This window comes from Homo sapiens, chromosome 5 (assembly GCF_000001405.40).
Source record: "Homo sapiens chromosome 5, GRCh38.p14 Primary Assembly".
Taxonomy (NCBI): domain Eukaryota; kingdom Metazoa; phylum Chordata; class Mammalia; order Primates; family Hominidae; genus Homo; species Homo sapiens.
In genome coordinates this window covers 138822043-138841452 of record NC_000005.10, presented here as the reverse complement: position 1 = coordinate 138841452, position 19410 = coordinate 138822043, and the positions used below count along the sequence as shown (strand labels likewise).

Below are 19410 nucleotides of genomic sequence, written 5' to 3'. Positions count from 1 at the left end.
CCCCATCTCTACTAAAAATACAAAAATTAGCCGGGCGTGGTAGCGGGCGCCTGTAATCCCAGCTACTCAGGAGGCTGAGGCAGGAGAATCACTTGAATCCAGGAGGCAGAAGTTGCAGTCAGCCGAGATCACACCATTGCACTCCAGCCCAGGTGACAGAGGGAAACTCCATCTCAAAAAATAAATAAATACATACATACATATATACATACAACATAATAAAATAAAATAAGCAAGCCATTGAGTTGCTGGCAAGGACTTCATTAGCAGTCATCAGATATGAACAAAGATTCAACTGAAAATGAATAAAATAATCCCATCTAAGAATAAAAACATATTCCACAGACTTGTGCCCTTCTAAGTTGGCATTATGACTGAGAAATATATCAACCAAAGAGGCAACTTTCAACACAGCAGGTCTGAAGTCAGAAAGGAGGAAATCTCCTGTCTCCGACAAGGACAGTTTGGAAACTCAATGCTCATGACAGAACCTGAACTACCCATCATGAAAAGCAGAATGGCATCCTTTTATGTAACTATATTTAATGAGGGGAGGAGAGGGTTAAAGACAAAAAATAAATAAATAAACATTATGGCTAGTTTGAGGGCAGACAAACCGAACACACAAACCCAATTTGTTTAATCCTTAACTGCCCTAGTCACAATGAGTTTTTATTTACTACCTTAAATCCTCTAAGACACCTAATTTTAAAAAAATGTAAAATGAATGGATAAAAACTATTAGGGTAGAAAGTTATGATTGATAAGCTTTTAGTTTTACATGTTTGTCACATATGGGCATTCTAAACTAAATAGGTGGCCTCCCACAACTATTAATTGGCTACATTTAAACAATCACAATATTTTTAATAAATCGATTTTTTATTATCAACACATGACAACTTTGCCAAAAAGTAAAGCCTACTCCTTGGGCCAAAAAGAATAACTGAAGGAGAAACTATATTATATTTTTCCCTAAAAACACCAATTTGCACATTTGCACATACATTTTATAGTTTTACGTTCACACCAAACATGGCATTGCACACACAAACACACGAGAGGAGAGGGAGAGACCTGTCAGCTATGATTAGATGCCTGAACTACAAAATCATGCAGACTGGAAATGGAGACTGCCACTTTGGCTCTTTGCTAGAGGCAGAGAGCAAGCAATGGAGCAGACACAGAAAGCTATAAAGCACCTGTCACAGAAGGCATGTCCCTTGGTCCCCACCTATCCAGATCCCTGTTCACCCTATTCTTTGCTACACTTTATTTTCTGTTCTTTTGTTCCAAGGCATCTTGATATTTTTTAATAACACCACCCATTATATCCCCATCTTCACGGTTTTACTTGGTCTTACTTGAGAGATTCTCTGTGCATTTTAACAAGGTCAGTTAGAGGGGCAGCTATTAATGACCCCAATTCCAGCCAAGAAAGCTGCCCTGGGGAGATTACATTACTTGATCAAGCTTTAACAAGTTCTATTCTATGGAAGTATCAGCTTACTGCTCATCATCCATGGCATCACATGTGAAGAGCACCACCAGGAGTATCTCTGGACTAAAAAATCAGAAGCCTTAGTTCTAGTCCTAACTGTTCAAACATGGGTGTAACCATGGCCTAACACTTCACTAGTTTCAGACTCAGTTTTGAAAACACTGGTTGAGTTTTGGTTCTGGCTAAATGTAATAAATATACTCCACCCTGTCTGTCCCACTGAATGTAACTAAAGATCCTGAGCAGAACACATGGAGTGGCAATCCAAGAATTGAAATAAAGAATGGTCGAATCTACAATTAAAGTTGGAGACTGCAACACTCTTATCTCAGTAATTCTTAGAATAATTAGATCTTTCCCCCAACTAAAAAAACAGCAAGCTATAGAACAATGCCATCAACCAACTAGATCTAAGTGACACTTTCACTCCACCCAACAATAACAGAATACAGGCCAGGCACGGTGGCTCATGCCTGTAATCCCAGCACTTTGGGAGGCCAAGGCGGGTGGATCACCTGAGGTCAGGAGTTAGAGACCAGCCTGGCCAACATGGGAAAACCCCACCTCTACTAAAAATACAGAAATTAGCCAGGCGTGATGGCGGGTGCCTGTAATCCCAGCTACTCGGGAGGCTGAGGCAGGAGAAATCACTTGAGCCGAGATCATGCCTCTATACTTCCAGCCTGAGCAACAGAGCAAGACTTCGTCTCAAAAAAGAAAAAAAAAATAAAAAGCAGAATACATATTATTTGTCAAGTGCAAACAGAACATTACAAAGGTAGCACTGGGTCATAAAACAAGGCTCAATTAACAAATTTAAAAAAAATTGAAATCATGCAAAGTTTATGTTCTCTGACCATATGGAATTAGAATTAAACTAGAAATCAGTAACAGAAACATAGCAAGAAAATCTCCAAATACTTGGAAATTACACAACATACTTCTAAATAAGCCAGTGATCAAAGAAGAAGACTCGAGGAAAATTTTAAAATATCTTGAACTGAACAAAAATGAAAATATAGGCCGGGCACGGTAGCTCACGCCTGTAATCCCAGCACTTTGGGAGGCCGAGGTGGGAGGATCATTTGAACTCAAGAGTTCAAGACCAGCCTGGGTAACACGATGAGACCCGATCTCTTAAAAACAAACAAACAAACAACAACAAAAAAATAAAAATAATTTTAAAATGAAAATACAACGTATCAGAATTTATCGGATGCAGACAAAGCAGGGCTTAGATTAGGGAAATCTATACCACTATATCTTTACACAAAGAAGAAAGGTCTCAAGTCAATAACCTAAGTTCTCACCTCAGGAAACTAGTAAAGATAGAATAAAATAAACCCAAAATAAGCAGACAGAAAAATAAATAAATAAAAAGCAGAAACAGATGAAATTGGAAGTATTAGAGGAAAAAAAAATTAATGAAACCCAAAGCTGGATTTTTCAAAAGATCACTAGAATTGATAAACTTCTGGCCAGATTGACAAAGAAAGAAAAAATAAAACAAATTATCAAGAATAGTTATGAAACAGAGAATACTGCTACAGATGCTAAACAGTAGAAGGATAGTAAGAGATTACAACAAACATCTCCATGCGTACAAAATCAACTAAGTGGATAAAATGAACTAATTCATTGAAAGCCACAATCTTCCAAAATTTACCCAAGAAACAATACATAACTTAGTTTTATATCTACTGAAGAAACTGAATTTATAATTTAAAACCTTCAGAAAAATTAATTGGTTGGGCTGGGTGCCATGGCTCACGCCTGTAATCCCAGAACTTTGGGAGGCTGAGGTGGGTATAGCATTTGACATCAGGACTTTGAGACCAGCCTGGCCAACATGGTGAAACCCTATCTCTACTAAAAATACAAAACTTAGCCAGACATGGCAGTGCACACCTGCAGTCCCAGCTACTGGGGAGCTGATTGAAACAGATTAAAAATTGGCAAGTTTCTATAAAGGACCAAATAGCAAATACTTTAGGCTCTGGGGCCATGCGGTCTCTTTAGAAACTACTTGGCCAGGCATGGTGGCTCACACCTGTAATCCCAGCACTTTGGGAGGCTGGGGCAGGCAGACTGCTTTCAGTCCAGGAGTTTGAGACCACCCTTGGCAAAATGGCAAGACCCCATATCTACAAAAAATACAAAAAATTAGTCAGGCATGCTGGTGCACACCTCTAGTCCCAGCTACTGGGGAAGCTGAGATGGCAGAATCACCTGAGCCTGGGAAGTCAAGGCTGCAGTGAGCTGTGATTGCACCACTGCAGTCCCAGCCTGGGTGGCAGAATAAGACCCTGTCTCAAAACAAACAAACAAAACCAAAAAGAGGAGAGAGGAGAGAGGAGAGAGAGAAGAGAGAGGAGAGAGGAGAAGAGAAGAGAAGACGGAGGAGTGGGGAAAGGGGGGGGAGGAGAGGGAGGGGAGGGAGGAGGGGGAGGGGGAAGGAGCAGGAGGGGGAGGATCAAGAGGAGGGGGAGGAGGAGGAACAGGAGGAAAGAAGAAGAAAAGAAGGAGGAGGAGGAGAAGGAAGAAACAACTAAATGAGTATGGCTGTGTTCCAATAAAACTTTATTTATAAAAATAAGTGGCAGGCTAGACTTGACCTGAGAACTATAATTTGTCAACCCCTAGACCACATGATAACGAACGTCACTTCCAAATTCTACCTTCACAATTTTATACTTCCAAGGTCAAAAATCGCTTTGATATACACTGCAAGAAAAGAATGAAGCAAATGCTATCACAGAGAGATAATTGAGTCTCACTTCAAGACTTGATAGAAATGTATACTATAATTTTTTATAAAACCAAACTAACCACTTTAGCCAAACTAGTCCTGAATGAATCATTACCTCGAAAGGACGAATCAACATATTAATGTGTGAAAAACCATCAAATTTCCATATTAATAGTGCTTTGGAAATGAACACGGTGTATGATTATAAACAAAACCTAAAAATCTAAGACACGCAAATCTAACGGTCTAAGTTTTTTAAACTTTGTGACATTAACAACATAAAAAACTTTTTTTAAATGTGGGAAAAAATATCAAAGAAAATTTATAGTGCCCATCGCCCCACCAGCTAGAGATAATTACTAATAATCTGATATATTTAGAGGTTATTACCTGTTAATTCAGAAATACTACTTTAGATATGAAGTCTTTTCAACCCTGCTTGATGGCTAAACAGCACAAAGTGATATAAAGGACAGTCTAACAGCAATCCTGAGGAGGCTAAACTCCTATCCACCTGCTGCCTAACACTGGGCAGGCTTACATGCCTGCTCCATCATTCTGATTTCAAAACCACTACTGCTCCATCAGGCCAGCATCACTTCAACAAATACATAAACATGCATCTTTCTGGTATTAGAGATTAAGAACTTGCCTGCTAAATACTGCAATGCGCAATGCCAGGATAGCTCATAAATGGGAAGTACTTCAAACCTCTTTGAAAGCAACACAAATATAACTGGGGTAAGATGTCTTTCTCAGAGTTATGAAGATCTTTTAAACTCCTTATCTTGAACCGTAAGAAAATCACAAATTAATTTTTGACAAAGTGTTTTCAAATTAAATAAATGCTGCTCTACAACATGGATGAACTTGGAGGGCATTATACTAAGTGAAATAGACACAGAGAAAACTATTGCATGATTTTTACATGTTCTCTAATAAATAAAAACAAGAGAGTAGAAAGGTGGGTTACCATATGGTGGGAGTAGGGGACACTTATGTCAAGGAATACAAAGTTGCAGTTATGCAGGATGAATAAATCTAGAACTCTTGGCCAGCCATGGTGGCTCACACCTGTAATCCCAACACTTTGGGAAGCCAAGGCAGGTGGATCACTTGAGGCCAGGTGTTCGAGACCAGCCTGGCCAATAGCACGGAACCCCATCTCTACTAAAAATACAAAAATTAGCTAGGCTTAGTAACACAAGCCTCTAAACCCAGCTATTATGTTTGGGAGGCTGGAGCATGAAAATCACTTGAATCAGGGACGCAGAGGTTGCAGTGAGCTGTGATCGTACCAGTGCACTCCAGCCTGGGTGACAGAGCAAAAAATAAGTAAATAAAAAATCTAGAGCTCTAATCTACAGCATGAAGCCTATAGTCAATAGCACTGTATTGTATTTGGAAAACTTGCTAAGAGAGTAGATTTTAGGCCCTCTTACCACCCACACAAGGTAACTCTAAGATAACAGATATGTTAAATGGCTTCACTGTAGTAATCATTTAACTATGTATATCTAAATATCACCTTGTATACCTTAAACATATACAGTAAAAATAAAATTTATTAAATAAAAAATAAAAATAAATGCCGCTGTCAAAAAAGCAAGTCCTACACAGGCTCAAATTTTGCATTCAATGCATCATCTACTTATATAAACTCTCCCAAATCCTGTTTATTAGGCAGCTCACAGAAAAGCTTACACTAACAATTCAATAAAATAATCTTCAAATGCCTCTACAGAACTATGGACTACTAATTTAGGTAAGCATCTCTTGCAGAAAACTCAAGAGTTCAAAGAAAGATGGAAATCATACCATAACTGTATAACAAAACTCAGCCTCTGTACCTGCAAACCACAGAGCCCATTTAAACAGCTACAGCACTCAAGTACCACCAGTCTAGCATGGAAAATACTCTAAAAGCTCTTTTGCTCCATGTCAGGCCTCTGAGCCCAAGCTAAGCCATCATATCCCCTGTCACCTGCATGTATACATCCAGATGGCCTGAAGCAACTGAAGATCCACAAAAGAAGCGAAAATAGCCAGTTCCTGCCTTAACTGATGACATTCCACCACTGCGATTTGTTCCTGCCCCACCCTAACTGATAAATTGACTTTGTGACAATACACCCTCCCCACCCTTGAGAAAGTACTTTGTAATATCCTCCCCTGCCCTTAAGAAGGTACTCTGCAATATTCTCCCCACCCTTGACAATGTACTTCATAAGATCCACCCCCTGCCCACAAAAAATTGCTCCTAACTCCACTGCCTATCCCAAACCTATAAGAACTAATGATAATCCCGCCACCCTTCGCTGACTCTCTTTTTGGACTCAGCCCGCCCGCACCCAGGTGATTAAAAAGCTTTACTGCTCTCAAAAAGCCTGTTTGGCAGTCTCTTCACACAGAGGCAAGTGACATTCCACTCACTTCAAGCAGCTATCCCAGACCTGGATCTATTTTACTTAGTCTAGGATATCCAATTTTAGAAATTTAATACTGAAATTTAGATTCCAGTATTTATTTTAGTTCTGGGGGTATTTAATTTTAATGGAAAACTCTGCCACCATTAAGATGTTATAAAATCATATTTGTTAACTTGGGACGATGTACAATGGTAAAAGTATTAAGAGTTCAGACTTTCAGGTCAGACAGATCTGAGCTCAAACTGCACCTGTGTGTATATGTATTTTTGAGCAATTATCAACTCAATAGGGTTATTATGGGGATAAAATGTCTCTCAGCACAATGGCTGGCATATGGTAAGCAGTGTAAAAGTATGGACAATCATTACTAACAACATTTTTAAAAAGAAAAGGTAAGAAAAGAACAGATATAAGTGTACATATACACAGATCCGAATTAAGTCTGGAATGTTATACACAAAAATGAGTGGTGGGATTATGGACAATATATAATGAACACAGAACTTTTATAATCAGGAAAAAATTAAGCTACTCTAATTCTGAAGAAAAGAAAAGTGTAGCCACAACATAATGCAGTAACAAGCTCTTCAGAGTCCTTCAAAAGCTCTGGCTATGCTAAAGAGATTCCAGGAAGGCATTTGCAAAACTGAGAAAGGATTAACATCTAAATTGAGTGCTTCACTTCACTATAATAACAATATATCTTTTCAAAAGATCTTTGAAAATGAACATTAGCTGCATACCATTCATACAATCCACATCAAATTTACCCAAATCGAATTAAAATTTTATACTTGATGTATTAACATAGTCATATTCCTCAAATATACATCCAGTCCAACCAAAGTATGTCCAGTTACTGCATTCTTCTTTTGGGATCCTACAACTACTATGTCCAACGTTTTCAGGCAAGAACAAAGATAAAATGTATCCTTAAGAAACATTATCCTTACAAGGTCCTAAATTGAACCAATTTTCTTCTATCTAAAACTACAGTTTTAAGTATTAAAAGAATACAAGTTATAATAGCTACTATGCATGGACTACCATGCCATTCTGGACATTGAACAAAGTTGATCCTAACCTCTCATCTACTCACCTTAGCTGGTTGGTTACTTATTGGTTAGAACTATCCAACAGAGATACAATGCAAGCCAGAAATAAACCACCCATATAATTTTTATAACATATATACAAGTTATAGATACATATATAACCAATGTAAATATGATTTTTCTCGTAGCCATAAGTGAAAAGAAACAGGTAAAAATAAAGTTTAATAGATTTTATTTAACCCAATATATCTAAAATAATATCAGTGAGATAATTCACATTCTTTTTTCTATACTAACTCTGAAATCTGATGTACTTACAGCAAACTTCAATTTAGACTTGTCACATTTCAAGTGCTCAATAGCCACATATGGTGAGTGGCTACCACACTGAATAGCAGAGAGCTAGAACTACTTAAGCCCATGGCATGTGTTTGTTCTTACCAATTATAAGCCCTAACGCCAGTCAGTCAAACACGACCATGACCTGCTGGGCAAGACTGCTCTGGTCAAAACCAAATGGAGTTCATTTCAAAGACTGAGGGTCCTTTATGTTTCAGACATTGTATTAAGTATATTCAGATTTGGAGGTTTTGGGGAAAGGGTAGGTTTTGCTTATTTGTTCATTGAGGAGTCAGGGTTGAAGGGGGGTATGGTAACAGAGACAAGTTTAGTTCCAATAAATTCTACTATTGGAAAAACACATGCCTTAAAAAACGGAGAAAGGAACATATTAACAGTCAGCATATCCCTCAGCAGAATGAAAGGCATGAAATAAAGAAGTCAGCTGTATAAAGCATAGAGCCCTTCAGAAGTCTTTCTCAGTAGCACTGAAATAACTCAGAGAACATTAAAACACACAACTGGGCAACCAAGTCAGCTATGTATTTGAAAAACAGAAATTTTAACCCATTAACCAGACAGCAGACTGTTTTAACCCATTAACTTAATAGTCTGAAACCTAGTTCTACGGATATTTCATGTTTATAGGCAGAAAACACTGAGAGAATTAAAACTGTTATTTTATGCTCTGCATAGAAGAAGAAAAGAAAAAAACCTGAAAATATATATCCCTAAATGCTAATAGTAGTGGTATTTTAGTAATTTAATGCACATGTCTGAATTTCAATCATGAAAAAAAATGGTAATAACTTTTTCAAATTTAATTACATTTCATTTTAATTTCAATCCATTCACTTTTAAACCTTTTAAGATTATAACATCCATCCAAAGCTGTTTTTCTCTCTCACAGGCAAAGCAACTTTAGGCTGACAGAGCCAAAACAAATTAAACTTAACCACAATAACCACATTTCATTTCAAGGAAACCTGGAAGTCATCTCTGAAACTACAAGGATACACTGAAGGGTCGCAAAACCTCCACTGTCATGGGTCTGTGATATTTCCCTAATGTTAAGTAAGTAGAGGTCAAATGCATTACTTTTATGTCAATATTTCCTTAGAGTCCGTATAGTAAGTTAGTTGTAGAGCCAAGACTACCTACCAACTCTTCATCAAACCACTATGCAAGCAATAACATTAAGGCTGCTAGCCTCCTGACCCTTGGAAACTTTAAAAGGGGATTTGGCCCTCAGCTGATGAATTAAATTTAACTCTGCTCTAAGATATCACTTTCACTTAATTGCTTATTCCAGAGTATTTGGTTTAATTTTTTCAACAAATGTCATCTGTATAGTGAAAGATCTAATAGGAAGTAGAAATAAACCACACAGCCTCCTCCTTCATCCACTGTAGAATGTAAGGCCCATAAGGGTAAAGGTCTTTGGTTTTTTCCACCACACTATTACCTCCTTAGCACCATGAAAATCCAAAATTATTCATTTTATTCATTCCTACAAACCAGCATGAGTTCATTAAGCAAGCATTTACTGAGCACCTCTTGCAGCATTATACTAGACCATGAATGAATATTTTTAAGGAGTTGTCATGTTCCAAAGGCTTAAAAACCTAGTTGCAGAATAAAATGGATAAAAGAAATGCAATTAAACAACAATTCAAGGGAGTATACAATAAGGCACAAAACTTCAAGCACCAAAGAAATAATGTAAGATGATGTAGTTTGAAATGGCCTTCAGCAAAGAGATGAAAAACAAATGTGGGGCCTGAAGAAAGAGTAGATTAGGTTTACATAGGTAGGAAGGGAATTTCCAGAACATAATGAACAATGCCCTAGTACTAAAGACAGGAGCTCAGCCTGGCCTGGGCAGGCAGAACAAAGTGGAAAATGGAGAAAGTGAGGAGACACTGAAGTAAGGTAATGGCAGTGGGGACAGAAAGGGACAAACAGAATAAACTACCAGAGCAGTTTTTCCACCTTAGTTGCACACTGGAATCAACTGGGAAGTGTTTTAAAATAACTGACGCTTGGATCTTGACGCAGAGATTCTGACTTAATTGGTCTGGGGTACACCTGAAACATCAAAGTTGCCCAAGGACTGTAATGTGCATCCAAAGTTAAGAATCACTGCCTCAGAGAAAAAGCCAGTGGAACCTGGTAATAAGCAACACAAAACGAAGAAAGAAGACACTTTACGAATGTGTGTCCATAAAAATATTAATAACAACATGAGAGAATCCAAGAAACAGAAAAAGTGAATATTATGTGAGCCTTTCTGGACTTTACAACAATGTTTATACAAAGTTCCACGTAGTAAACAAGTATTAATTAATGTAGGTGATTTCAATTCTCCACATAACATAATTTGTCTAATATTTTTCAACAGAAATAAAATGAACCATTTTTTTAAAATCAAGATAGAAGTTAACCAAAAGATTACAAAATAAATCTTCTAGAAGAGAAAGCCTCCTGGATTTCCCAGATAGAAATAACCTCAACCTCCTTGCAATTTCCACAGCATTTTGGCTGTACCTATGATGACACTCCCATTAAACCCCCTATAGAAACTTTGTCTGTTCCAGAAGGGAGGGATCAGAGCCTCATTCCTCCTCTTACATTGTGCCCAACACACTGCTTTGCATGTGTCACATACTCAGAATGAACTGACTGACAGGCAGACATTGCTGGTTATATTCTGACACTCACTAGAGGTTCTAAATGTTTTTGAATGCTTCATAAATAAGCAAAAATCTATCCCCAGTTGCTTCTGCTTCTTCCAGACCCTTTTATCATTCTAAGCTTTCTTCAAGTGTGCTCCACTGCCCTCACCGTTTATCCTCACTCCAGTGCTTTTTGACAGGACCAAGCCTGTTCACTGTTACGTGAATCAATAAAAGGAAACTAAAGATTTTTACCTTTAGGAGAAACATACCCAGAGACCATCTCCTAAAATACATTTCTAAATCTCAAGAAGATTTCTTTCTTTTGTGCTTTTTTGTTTTTGAGACAGAATCTCGCTCTGTCGCCCAGGCTGGAGTGCAGTGGTGCGATCTTGGCTCACTGCAAGCTCCGCCTGCTGGATTCACACCATTCTCCTGCCTCAGCCTCCCGAGTAGCTGGGACTACAGGGGCCCCCACACCACGCCTGGCTAATTTTTCTGTTTTTTGTTTGTTTATTTTTTGGGTTTTTTTTTTTTTGAGATGGAGTCTCCCTCTGTTCCCCAGGCTGGAGTGCAGTGGCGTGATCTTGGCTCACTGAAAGCTCCGCCTCCTGGGTTCACACCATTCTCCTGCATCAGCCTCCAGAGCAGCTGGGACTACAGGCGCCCGCCTCCATGTCCGGCTAATTTTTTTGTATTTTTAGTAGAGACAGGGTTTCGCCACGTTAGCCAGGATGGTCTCTATCTCCTGACCTTGTGATCTGCCCGCCTCAGCCTCCCAAAGTGCTGGGATTACAGGTAATTTTTCTGTATTTTTAGTAGAGACTGGGTTTCACCATGTTAGCCAGGATGGTCTCAATCTCCTGACCTTGTGATCCGTCTGCCTTGGCCTCCCAAAGTGCTGGGATTACAGGCGTGAGCCACCGTGCCCGGCCAAGATTTCTTTCAAGATCCCTACCATAATACTCAAATTTCAGCCTCACATCACACATTGTTCCAGTTTTCATTTAAGAATGCTACTGCAGTCTCCATGTCTTCAGTATAAATGAGTGCTTCCCACCTTTTCTTACACTGATGGCATGAATAGACAGTACTGTTTGTATGGCACTCTAGGTTTCGAAACCTCAAGGTTACTCATGACCAGGGGTGATTGGCCCAAGAATGTGACCAACCTCAAGACTCAAGGGATATCTTATAGACTGATTAGGAGGCTCTAAAACGGAGCAATCGGAACAGATTTATCACATCCTCCTTCCCACCAAAGTCTGTTTTTGAAGTGATTTCCTCATCATAACTACATAAGACACTTTTACACCATTTCCAGCACTACCCATGATAGCAGATGACTGATCCACTTACCATGAGTTTTTGTTCCCCTGTTTAAGACTGCAACATTGTGAGCCATTCTGCAACATATCCATCTTTTAAAATATTTTCTAATGTTCAATCTTAGCTATGGATTTTTAAATGTGTCCCACATTTTCACTGTGACTTAAAAACCACTTTTTCCATTTGATTTAACAAAACCTCTAATCTCATTTTTCTTAAGTAGACTGCCTATAATCAAAACATGGCTTTTTTTTTTGAGACACTCTCGCTCTGTCGCCCAGGCTGGAGCACAGTGGCGCGACCATGGTTCACTGTAGCCACAACCTCCCAGGCTTAAGCGATTCTTCCGCCTCAGCCTCCCGAGTAGCTGAGACCAGGCGTGCGCCACCATGCCCAGTTAACTTTTGTATTTTTTGTAGAGATGGGATTTCACCATGTTGCCCAAGATGGTCTCAAACTCTTGGGCTCACGCAATCCACCCACCTCAGCCTCCCAAAACGCTGGGACTACAGGCTTGAACCATCATGCCCAGGGGGCAATGGCTTTAAAAAAATTCAATATGCATCACTAATTTCACAGTATGGTAGAGACAAGATAAACAGAGGAAGGCATTCATCTTCACCCTAGGAATTCCACCATGATTTACCATCACCCATTAACTTTTACAGGCCTGTAAGTGAACAGACAAGATGTATGGCAAACGAACAAATGAGAAAGAACCAAGATCTTTTTTTTAGGTGTTAAACAGGTAAAAAACGCTAGTGATGACAACTAATTTGTGTTGTTGTCCTTCTTCCCCTTAAAATGATTTCATATAATTTTTACTTAATTTATTGCTAATTAGCTACAGTAAAATATTGGGTCCAAGGTCTAAATGACAGGAACCCTAAGCTAGCATTAAATAACCAGAATAGAAGAAGTATAAGCGAAGGAAAAAAAGAAAGACATATGGCAACAGAGAAAAATCAACAAATATAGAATTTTCTATGGCCTTTTAAAAAAAAAGTGGGTATCAAATTTCATAGCCTGGGTTTTTATGCACAAACCTTCAAAATTCAAAAACACTATCCAGAGTTTGCTTTATGTAACTCTACTTGGCAATTATCTACTCTTGTGACATTCAATATGGTTCACGAAAAAACTTTCACAACTATAAATATTGAGGAGGCAGGTTTTCAACATTCCCTTTTGCCCAAAATTAGCCACCTACTTGGGATAATGAAACTTTAGTGGTATAGAAGGTCATTATTCTTTGGAGAGGCATGCTAAAATATTAGAGGTGAAGCATCACAATGTCTACAACTTTCTTCCAAAGGCTTCGGGGGAAAAAAGGATGTTTGTGTATATACCATACATACATATACATTTATATATACACACACCTACACATGTATCTACATGTTAATTGATGAATACAGATAAATTTCCTAGGTATTCACTGTATGATTTTTATAAGTTGAAAATTTCTCAATAAGCTGGAGAGAGGAAAGAGCCACTTAGCCATTTATCCATTTCTTTAAAAATCTGACCTACTCCCAAAAATCAAGGAGTCAAGGACATATTTGGTATTTATAGTGAAAACATCTCAGATCCAACATGTTATAGAAAACTCCTCATCCATAAATATCTTACTTCAAAGAAAAGCTGTCAAACTCACATTGCCCATGTACTCCGAAAGCAGGTCCTGCAGGGCCTGGCGGACAGCATTACACTCTGCCACAATTCGCTCACGACGGTCATCACGCGTGCAGGACGAGTCGGCCATCAAGGCAGCCCCACTAATGATGCTTTCCAGACGCTCCTCCAGGGAAGGCCTAAAGCGCTCCTCGCTGAAGCTCAAGGGGTCCACAATGATTTGTTTCTGCAGAGAAAGTATTACCGAATGTTAGTACTCATCTCTGTTCCCTTCTTTATTCAAGGTGAGAAAAGTGTTATTAGTAATATCAAGATTTAACACAAAAATTCCAACATCTGAAAGAAAGTTATACTTCTTAGCAGGTAAGGGGCTGTCCCACAGAAGATGGCCTACTGTTGATCACTCCTCAAAGAAAGCAGTGGAAGTAATGCTATGTAGCCAAACAAGGCATGATAAGGTATGATACCACAAATACAAACATATCATGCTCACACAACTTATTCTGAACATCTAAAGGTAAACCCGTATAAGACTAGCAATTCAAATCATCAGATGAGAATTACAAGGAAAATAAAAGTTACCTCTTACTTGCAGAATATAAAACTGCCATGTGATATTTAGAACTGTTGCACCACAAAAAAATTAAAAAATAAAAGCCAAACAAGCCAGGTGTGGTGGCTTATGCCTGTAATCTCAACACTTTGAGAGATTGAAGGAGGATTGTTTGAGGCCAGTTGAACACCAGCCTAGGCAACGAGGCAAGACCCTGTCTCTACAAAAAAATAAAATAAGTTGGGCATGGTGGCACACGCCTATAGTCCCAGCTACTCGGGAGGATCACTTGAACCCAGAAGTTCAAGGCTGCAGTGAGCTATGATTGTGCCACTGCACTCCAGCCTGGGTAACAGAGCAAGACTTTGTCTCTTAAAATATATACACGTGTGCGCACACATACAAACTGATCTCTAACCTTAAAGTTTCAGAAAGAAATGCATTTACAATGAATTTCCATCTATTTGCCTCATCTTACACATCTAATCAAGTTTTCTAAATAATTCAGTCTCAAATTTATCCTGTTATGTCTAAATTAGAGACTTCCTTTCCTCAAAGACCTCTAGTATTCTGTAAGAGATGATAGCAATCCTCCCAAAAACCTAAGCTGTGAGGAAGAACTGCTCCAATAAGAATAAATCCTTTTTCTGTCTCCCCTTCCCTCCTGACTCCACTTACATCCAGCTTTTCTAGCATTTAGTGAGGTCTGGTCACAAGTAAGCTATAGGTACAAGGTGAAACATCGGCATCCTCAAGACAGCAGCTACTGGCCTCCCTCCAATTCCTCCACTTGATATAATTTATCCTCACCCTGATAAATGTCTGTGCAAATATTATGGCTTTAATTTTTCTTTACAGAGACTATGTCCTTATTGATTTCAACTTAAATGCCAAATTTTTTCTACCAAAACCTTGCCCTTTTCCAATAAGTATACATTTCTTCCTTCCCTTCCAAAGAACCCTCAGTTTTCAAACTGAACATGCAATACCTTCAGTTCATTATTAACCTACACATTTTAGCTGATCATTTTTTGTAAGGTTAGGTTATTACAGGATTTCTCTGGTCAAAACTGAATACAAAATGCTTTCTGGCCAACAAAAATGAGAAATGAATGGTCATAGAATTTTAATAGAGTAACAGAGCCTCAATGAGCCTGAGATCATTTAGCACAAACCCTCATTTTACAAATACCTGTGTCCCTGAGAAGTTAAGTAGCTTCTGGTAGATATTACTCAACTTAGGGCAAAATGTGCTACTACCCTGAAAGATACCTAATACTGCCAAATTTTGAAGGGGGGAAAAACAACATTGCTAGTAAATTTTAACATGCACCATAAGAGTTTGTTATAAAATAATTTAATGTTTAAAGCTCCATGGTAAAAACTGAGTTCTAACACCATGGTCTTTAGACTTAACACTGCCTTCTTGCTTTATGAAAAAGTCTTAAATCGGCCATGCATATCAACAAGGATCAGCTACCTAAGCGAAAGTAAAGTGGCAAAAGAAAGAAAAGGTAAAGGCAAGGAAAAACTTAAAAACAAAATGCACTCCATTGTAATTTTTTTTTATTCTATATTTCATAGCATCCCTACTTTATGAAAGGATGCTGGTCACCTGGAACACAATTTCTGTTTTTTGGTTTGTTTTTTTTTTTTTTAATTAGCCCCAACAGTTACTTTTAAAGCCCTAAAAAAAAAAAAAAAACTTATACTGCTGCCATCTACTGGAAGCCAAGAGGCACTGTGGGTAGGAATTAAGAACACATAACCCACCAAAAAGTTAACCTTAAGAGTTGTGTACACAGGACAGACCTAGCGCATCATTTATGAAAAGTAATTATGGCATTATGCTAAGAAAGTATTTTAATCCCAAATTTGCTTCCACTTGATTAAATTTCTGTTCATTATTCCAATTTAGTCACTGAAAAGAAGTATATCTAGGCAGACAAGAAAGATTAGAATGATGGTACTTTTGCTGCAGTCACTTATGATGTTTCTCTATCTCCCAATAGACCACGAGCCTCTAGGGGGCTGACCCTACGTGTACTTAGTTTCTGTATCTACCATAGCTTCACATCTGCCAGAAGGTCAAAATCTTGGTTGAAATGAACCAAACCCATATCCTCAGTAAAGAATGACCTCATAGGAAACACAAGCTACATAAAAGAATCCAGAAGTTTAATTCAAACTAAAAACAAAAATAAAAATAAATGTTTTAGGCCAAGTTAAAATCAAGTAGACTGATGATTCATAATTTCTTTTGACTTAGATTAAAGATCTAAGTGGAAATTGAGCTATCATCAGAAGCCTTGATCACTTTTCCCCAGAAATCTGTTATCTTTTGGGGGATGGTCAAGAGCTGGAAATTTCCACCCAAGCATAACTTACGTCAAAGTTATTGAGTGCATATGCCAGTTCTCCTCCTCCTCCACCCTGGTGCTGTGAGGCATCGTCTGAGGCAGTGGCCTGGGCTGCATTGGAAATGCCTGTGACCGCCTGCTGCAGCTGCTTGTATATCAGGTCCCTGTTGGCCTTATAGGCTGCGACATCAGGGTGCTGTAGGCATGCCTGGGATGCAGTATAGAGGATCGGAACGTTCTTCTGCAGGATTCCTCTAGCTGCAGCCATCTGATCACGATGGCCAACATCTTTCAATTCCTACAAGAGTAAATAAAACAAGAAATTGGAGCACTCTTTATATGGGCTTTACTCATATAAAAATTTGCTGGTAAATGCTGAAAAGTTAGAATTTCTATTAATTAGACACATTATTTTCATTAACAATCTAGTTGAGAGTCAATCACAAAGAAGGCAGTATGGTTTGGTAGGTAAGATTCTGAGCTTTGGAATCACACAGACCTAGATCTGAATCCACCCCACACCCACTTCTACTTTCTCCTGGCTATTTTATGACCTTATTTTAAACCCTCAGGGCTAAGGTTCCCCTTCTGTCAAAGAAGAGCAGTAACAGTACCTTTCTTATCATTGTTTTGAGGATTAAATCGGATAATGTATGTAAAGTACTTAGCACAGCACTAAATAAGGCATTAAATAAAAGACAAAACAAACTGCCTAGCATCTTGATTACAACTCTATATAGATATATGTACCTATACCAACCAACGATAGAAAGATCATGAAGAGATACAGTCAAACAGAGTAAGACTTATTATGAGTATTATTTTTTATCAAGTTACATAATTTTTTTTTTTTTTTTTTTTTTTTTTTTTTGAGACGGAGTCTCGCTCTGTCGCCCAGGCTGGAGTGCAGTGGCGGGATCTCGGCTCACTGCAAGCTCCGCCTCCCGGGTTCACGCCATTCTCCTGCCTCAGCCTCCCAAGTAGCTGGGACTACAGGCGCCCGCCACTACGCCCGGCTAATTTTTTGTATTTTTAGTAGAGACGGGGTTTCACCGTTTTAGCCGGGATGGCCTCGATCTCCTGACCTCGTGATCCGCCCGCCTCGGCCTCCCAAAGTGCTGGGATTACAGGCGTGAGCCACCGCGCCCAGCCAAGTTACATAATTTTATTGTAAGAGTTTTGTGAAATTTGGGACAGGATGCCACAGGTATGTATGAACTACATAAATAGGTGAGGATATCACAAGGCTGTTCTGACAAGCACGTATCTCCTCCTCTCCCGCTCCCCACCCCAAAAACCACTTTAGGACACAGAACCACACTTTTCTTACACAGTACATTAAACAGTTCGCAGGTCAGTAAGCCATAAAGTTGAGGCGTATGTGCTTCATAGCCCCAATCTATGATTATAAGACTCTGTATAGATACGGTCTTAAACTACTTTTTTTCATTTCTTCTACCCCATAATTATAATCCACAGTAAGAAGGATTTGAGGTCCTTGGCATCATTTCCACTAATGATGGCATCTACTTGGTAGGCTGAGTAGATATGCTAAGCGACAAATAAGTGATGCCAAAAATACACAAGATGGGAATGGGAAGCGGGTATTTCTGGTATCCCTCTTTCACTCACAATACTCAGAAGGGAAAAAAAGGCTTTAGTAAAAATGGATCACCACCACAGAAGAAGAATACAGGTGATAACTCTAAATAATCACCAAATGGTAGCCCAACTCTTATTTTACATGTTAAAATGTCAATGTTAATGTCATTAACTAAATCCTAGAGTATAAATTTAAACATTTTGAGTATTACATGTGTAAACAGTAACAGAAAATTGACCAAGTTAGAAAGGACAAAGTCAATTACTCAATTAGCCATCTGACTTAGCTATTTAGTGGTTCATCTTTCTAGATGAGTTCCTAATTAGGCATTAGAGACACCAAACTGGCTTCCTTTTTCTGAAACTTCATCTCAGTATATATTTAGGTTTGCATCTTTATTCAAACCTTGTATAACATGACAGCTTACTTTTCCTCCTAGAATTCTTTTCTCATTTGGAATCTAAATTTGCAAGTAATAGCTCACAGCACTCCAAATGCCCTGTAACACAGTACATTAGGCTAAATATTCAAAAACAGGACCCTGTAGATTTAAAGAATCAGTTATCATTTAAAGACTCAAGCAACAAGGGGCTATGACTAAACATTACACTTAAACAGCTGGTGCACATGTTTTGTGTGGCATTTTCTAAATGTCTTGCCTTCACCACAATCTGAGGGGCTCTAAAAGTTTTCCGGGAAGGCATTTGCCTTTAAGTACTTAAATTGTCTACCGTTTTATAAAAATGCTTTGCAATCAGCTTTGGCATTCCTCCTAAGTATCTATGACCTAGATCAGCATAGCTTCTTATAAAGGTTAGTTACCAAAGACACTTACGGTCATCTCAAGTTAGCAGGTGCCATAATTACTATTCAACACATGACTTTCCTAAGCCACTGCCTGGTATGGTATTACCAACTTCTACTTTTCCAAAGACTACATTAGGCTAAATATTCAGAAACAAGATCCTGTGGATTTAGAGAATTGGTGATCATTTCAAGACTCGAGTTATGACAAGGAGCTAGGGTTAACCATTATGCTTAAACAGCTGGTGCATATGTTCTGTGTGCCATTTTCTAATTGTCTTGCCCTTATCACAGTGTATCTCTGATAGACTCCTATTTACAAAGTATGAGGGATATATTTTAATCTATGATGAAAATAATAACGAAATACCATCATTT

The 19410-nt window shown here is 38.5% G+C and overlaps 1 protein-coding gene across 9 annotated transcripts in view, besides 1 other annotated feature; it reads right to left on the bottom strand.

Moving 5' to 3' along the window:
* Window positions 1–19410, bottom strand: part of CTNNA1 (catenin alpha 1) — a 181610-nt gene that overhangs the window by 93582 nt on the left and 68618 nt on the right. For all 9 annotated transcript variants that reach the window (NM_001323982.2, NM_001323984.2, NM_001290307.3 and 6 more), the window contains 2 exons: window positions 16654–16923; window positions 13735–13938 (listed from right to left, as the gene is read on the bottom strand). In NM_001323982.2, the coding sequence (NP_001310911.1) occupies window positions 13735–13938; window positions 16654–16923 (474 nt within the window). The remainder of the gene's footprint in view (window positions 1–13734; window positions 13939–16653; window positions 16924–19410) is intronic.
* Window positions 12454–12954: an enhancer, noted in NCBI's record as "H3K4me1 hESC enhancer chr5:138164188-138164688 (GRCh37/hg19 assembly coordinates)". NCBI's record gives its function as "activates a minimal SCP1, AML or CMV promoter by ChIP-STARR-seq in primed H9 embryonic stem cells {active_cell/tissue: H9 hESC(primed)}" and the evidence as "EXISTENCE:reporter gene assay evidence [ECO:0000049][PMID:30033119]".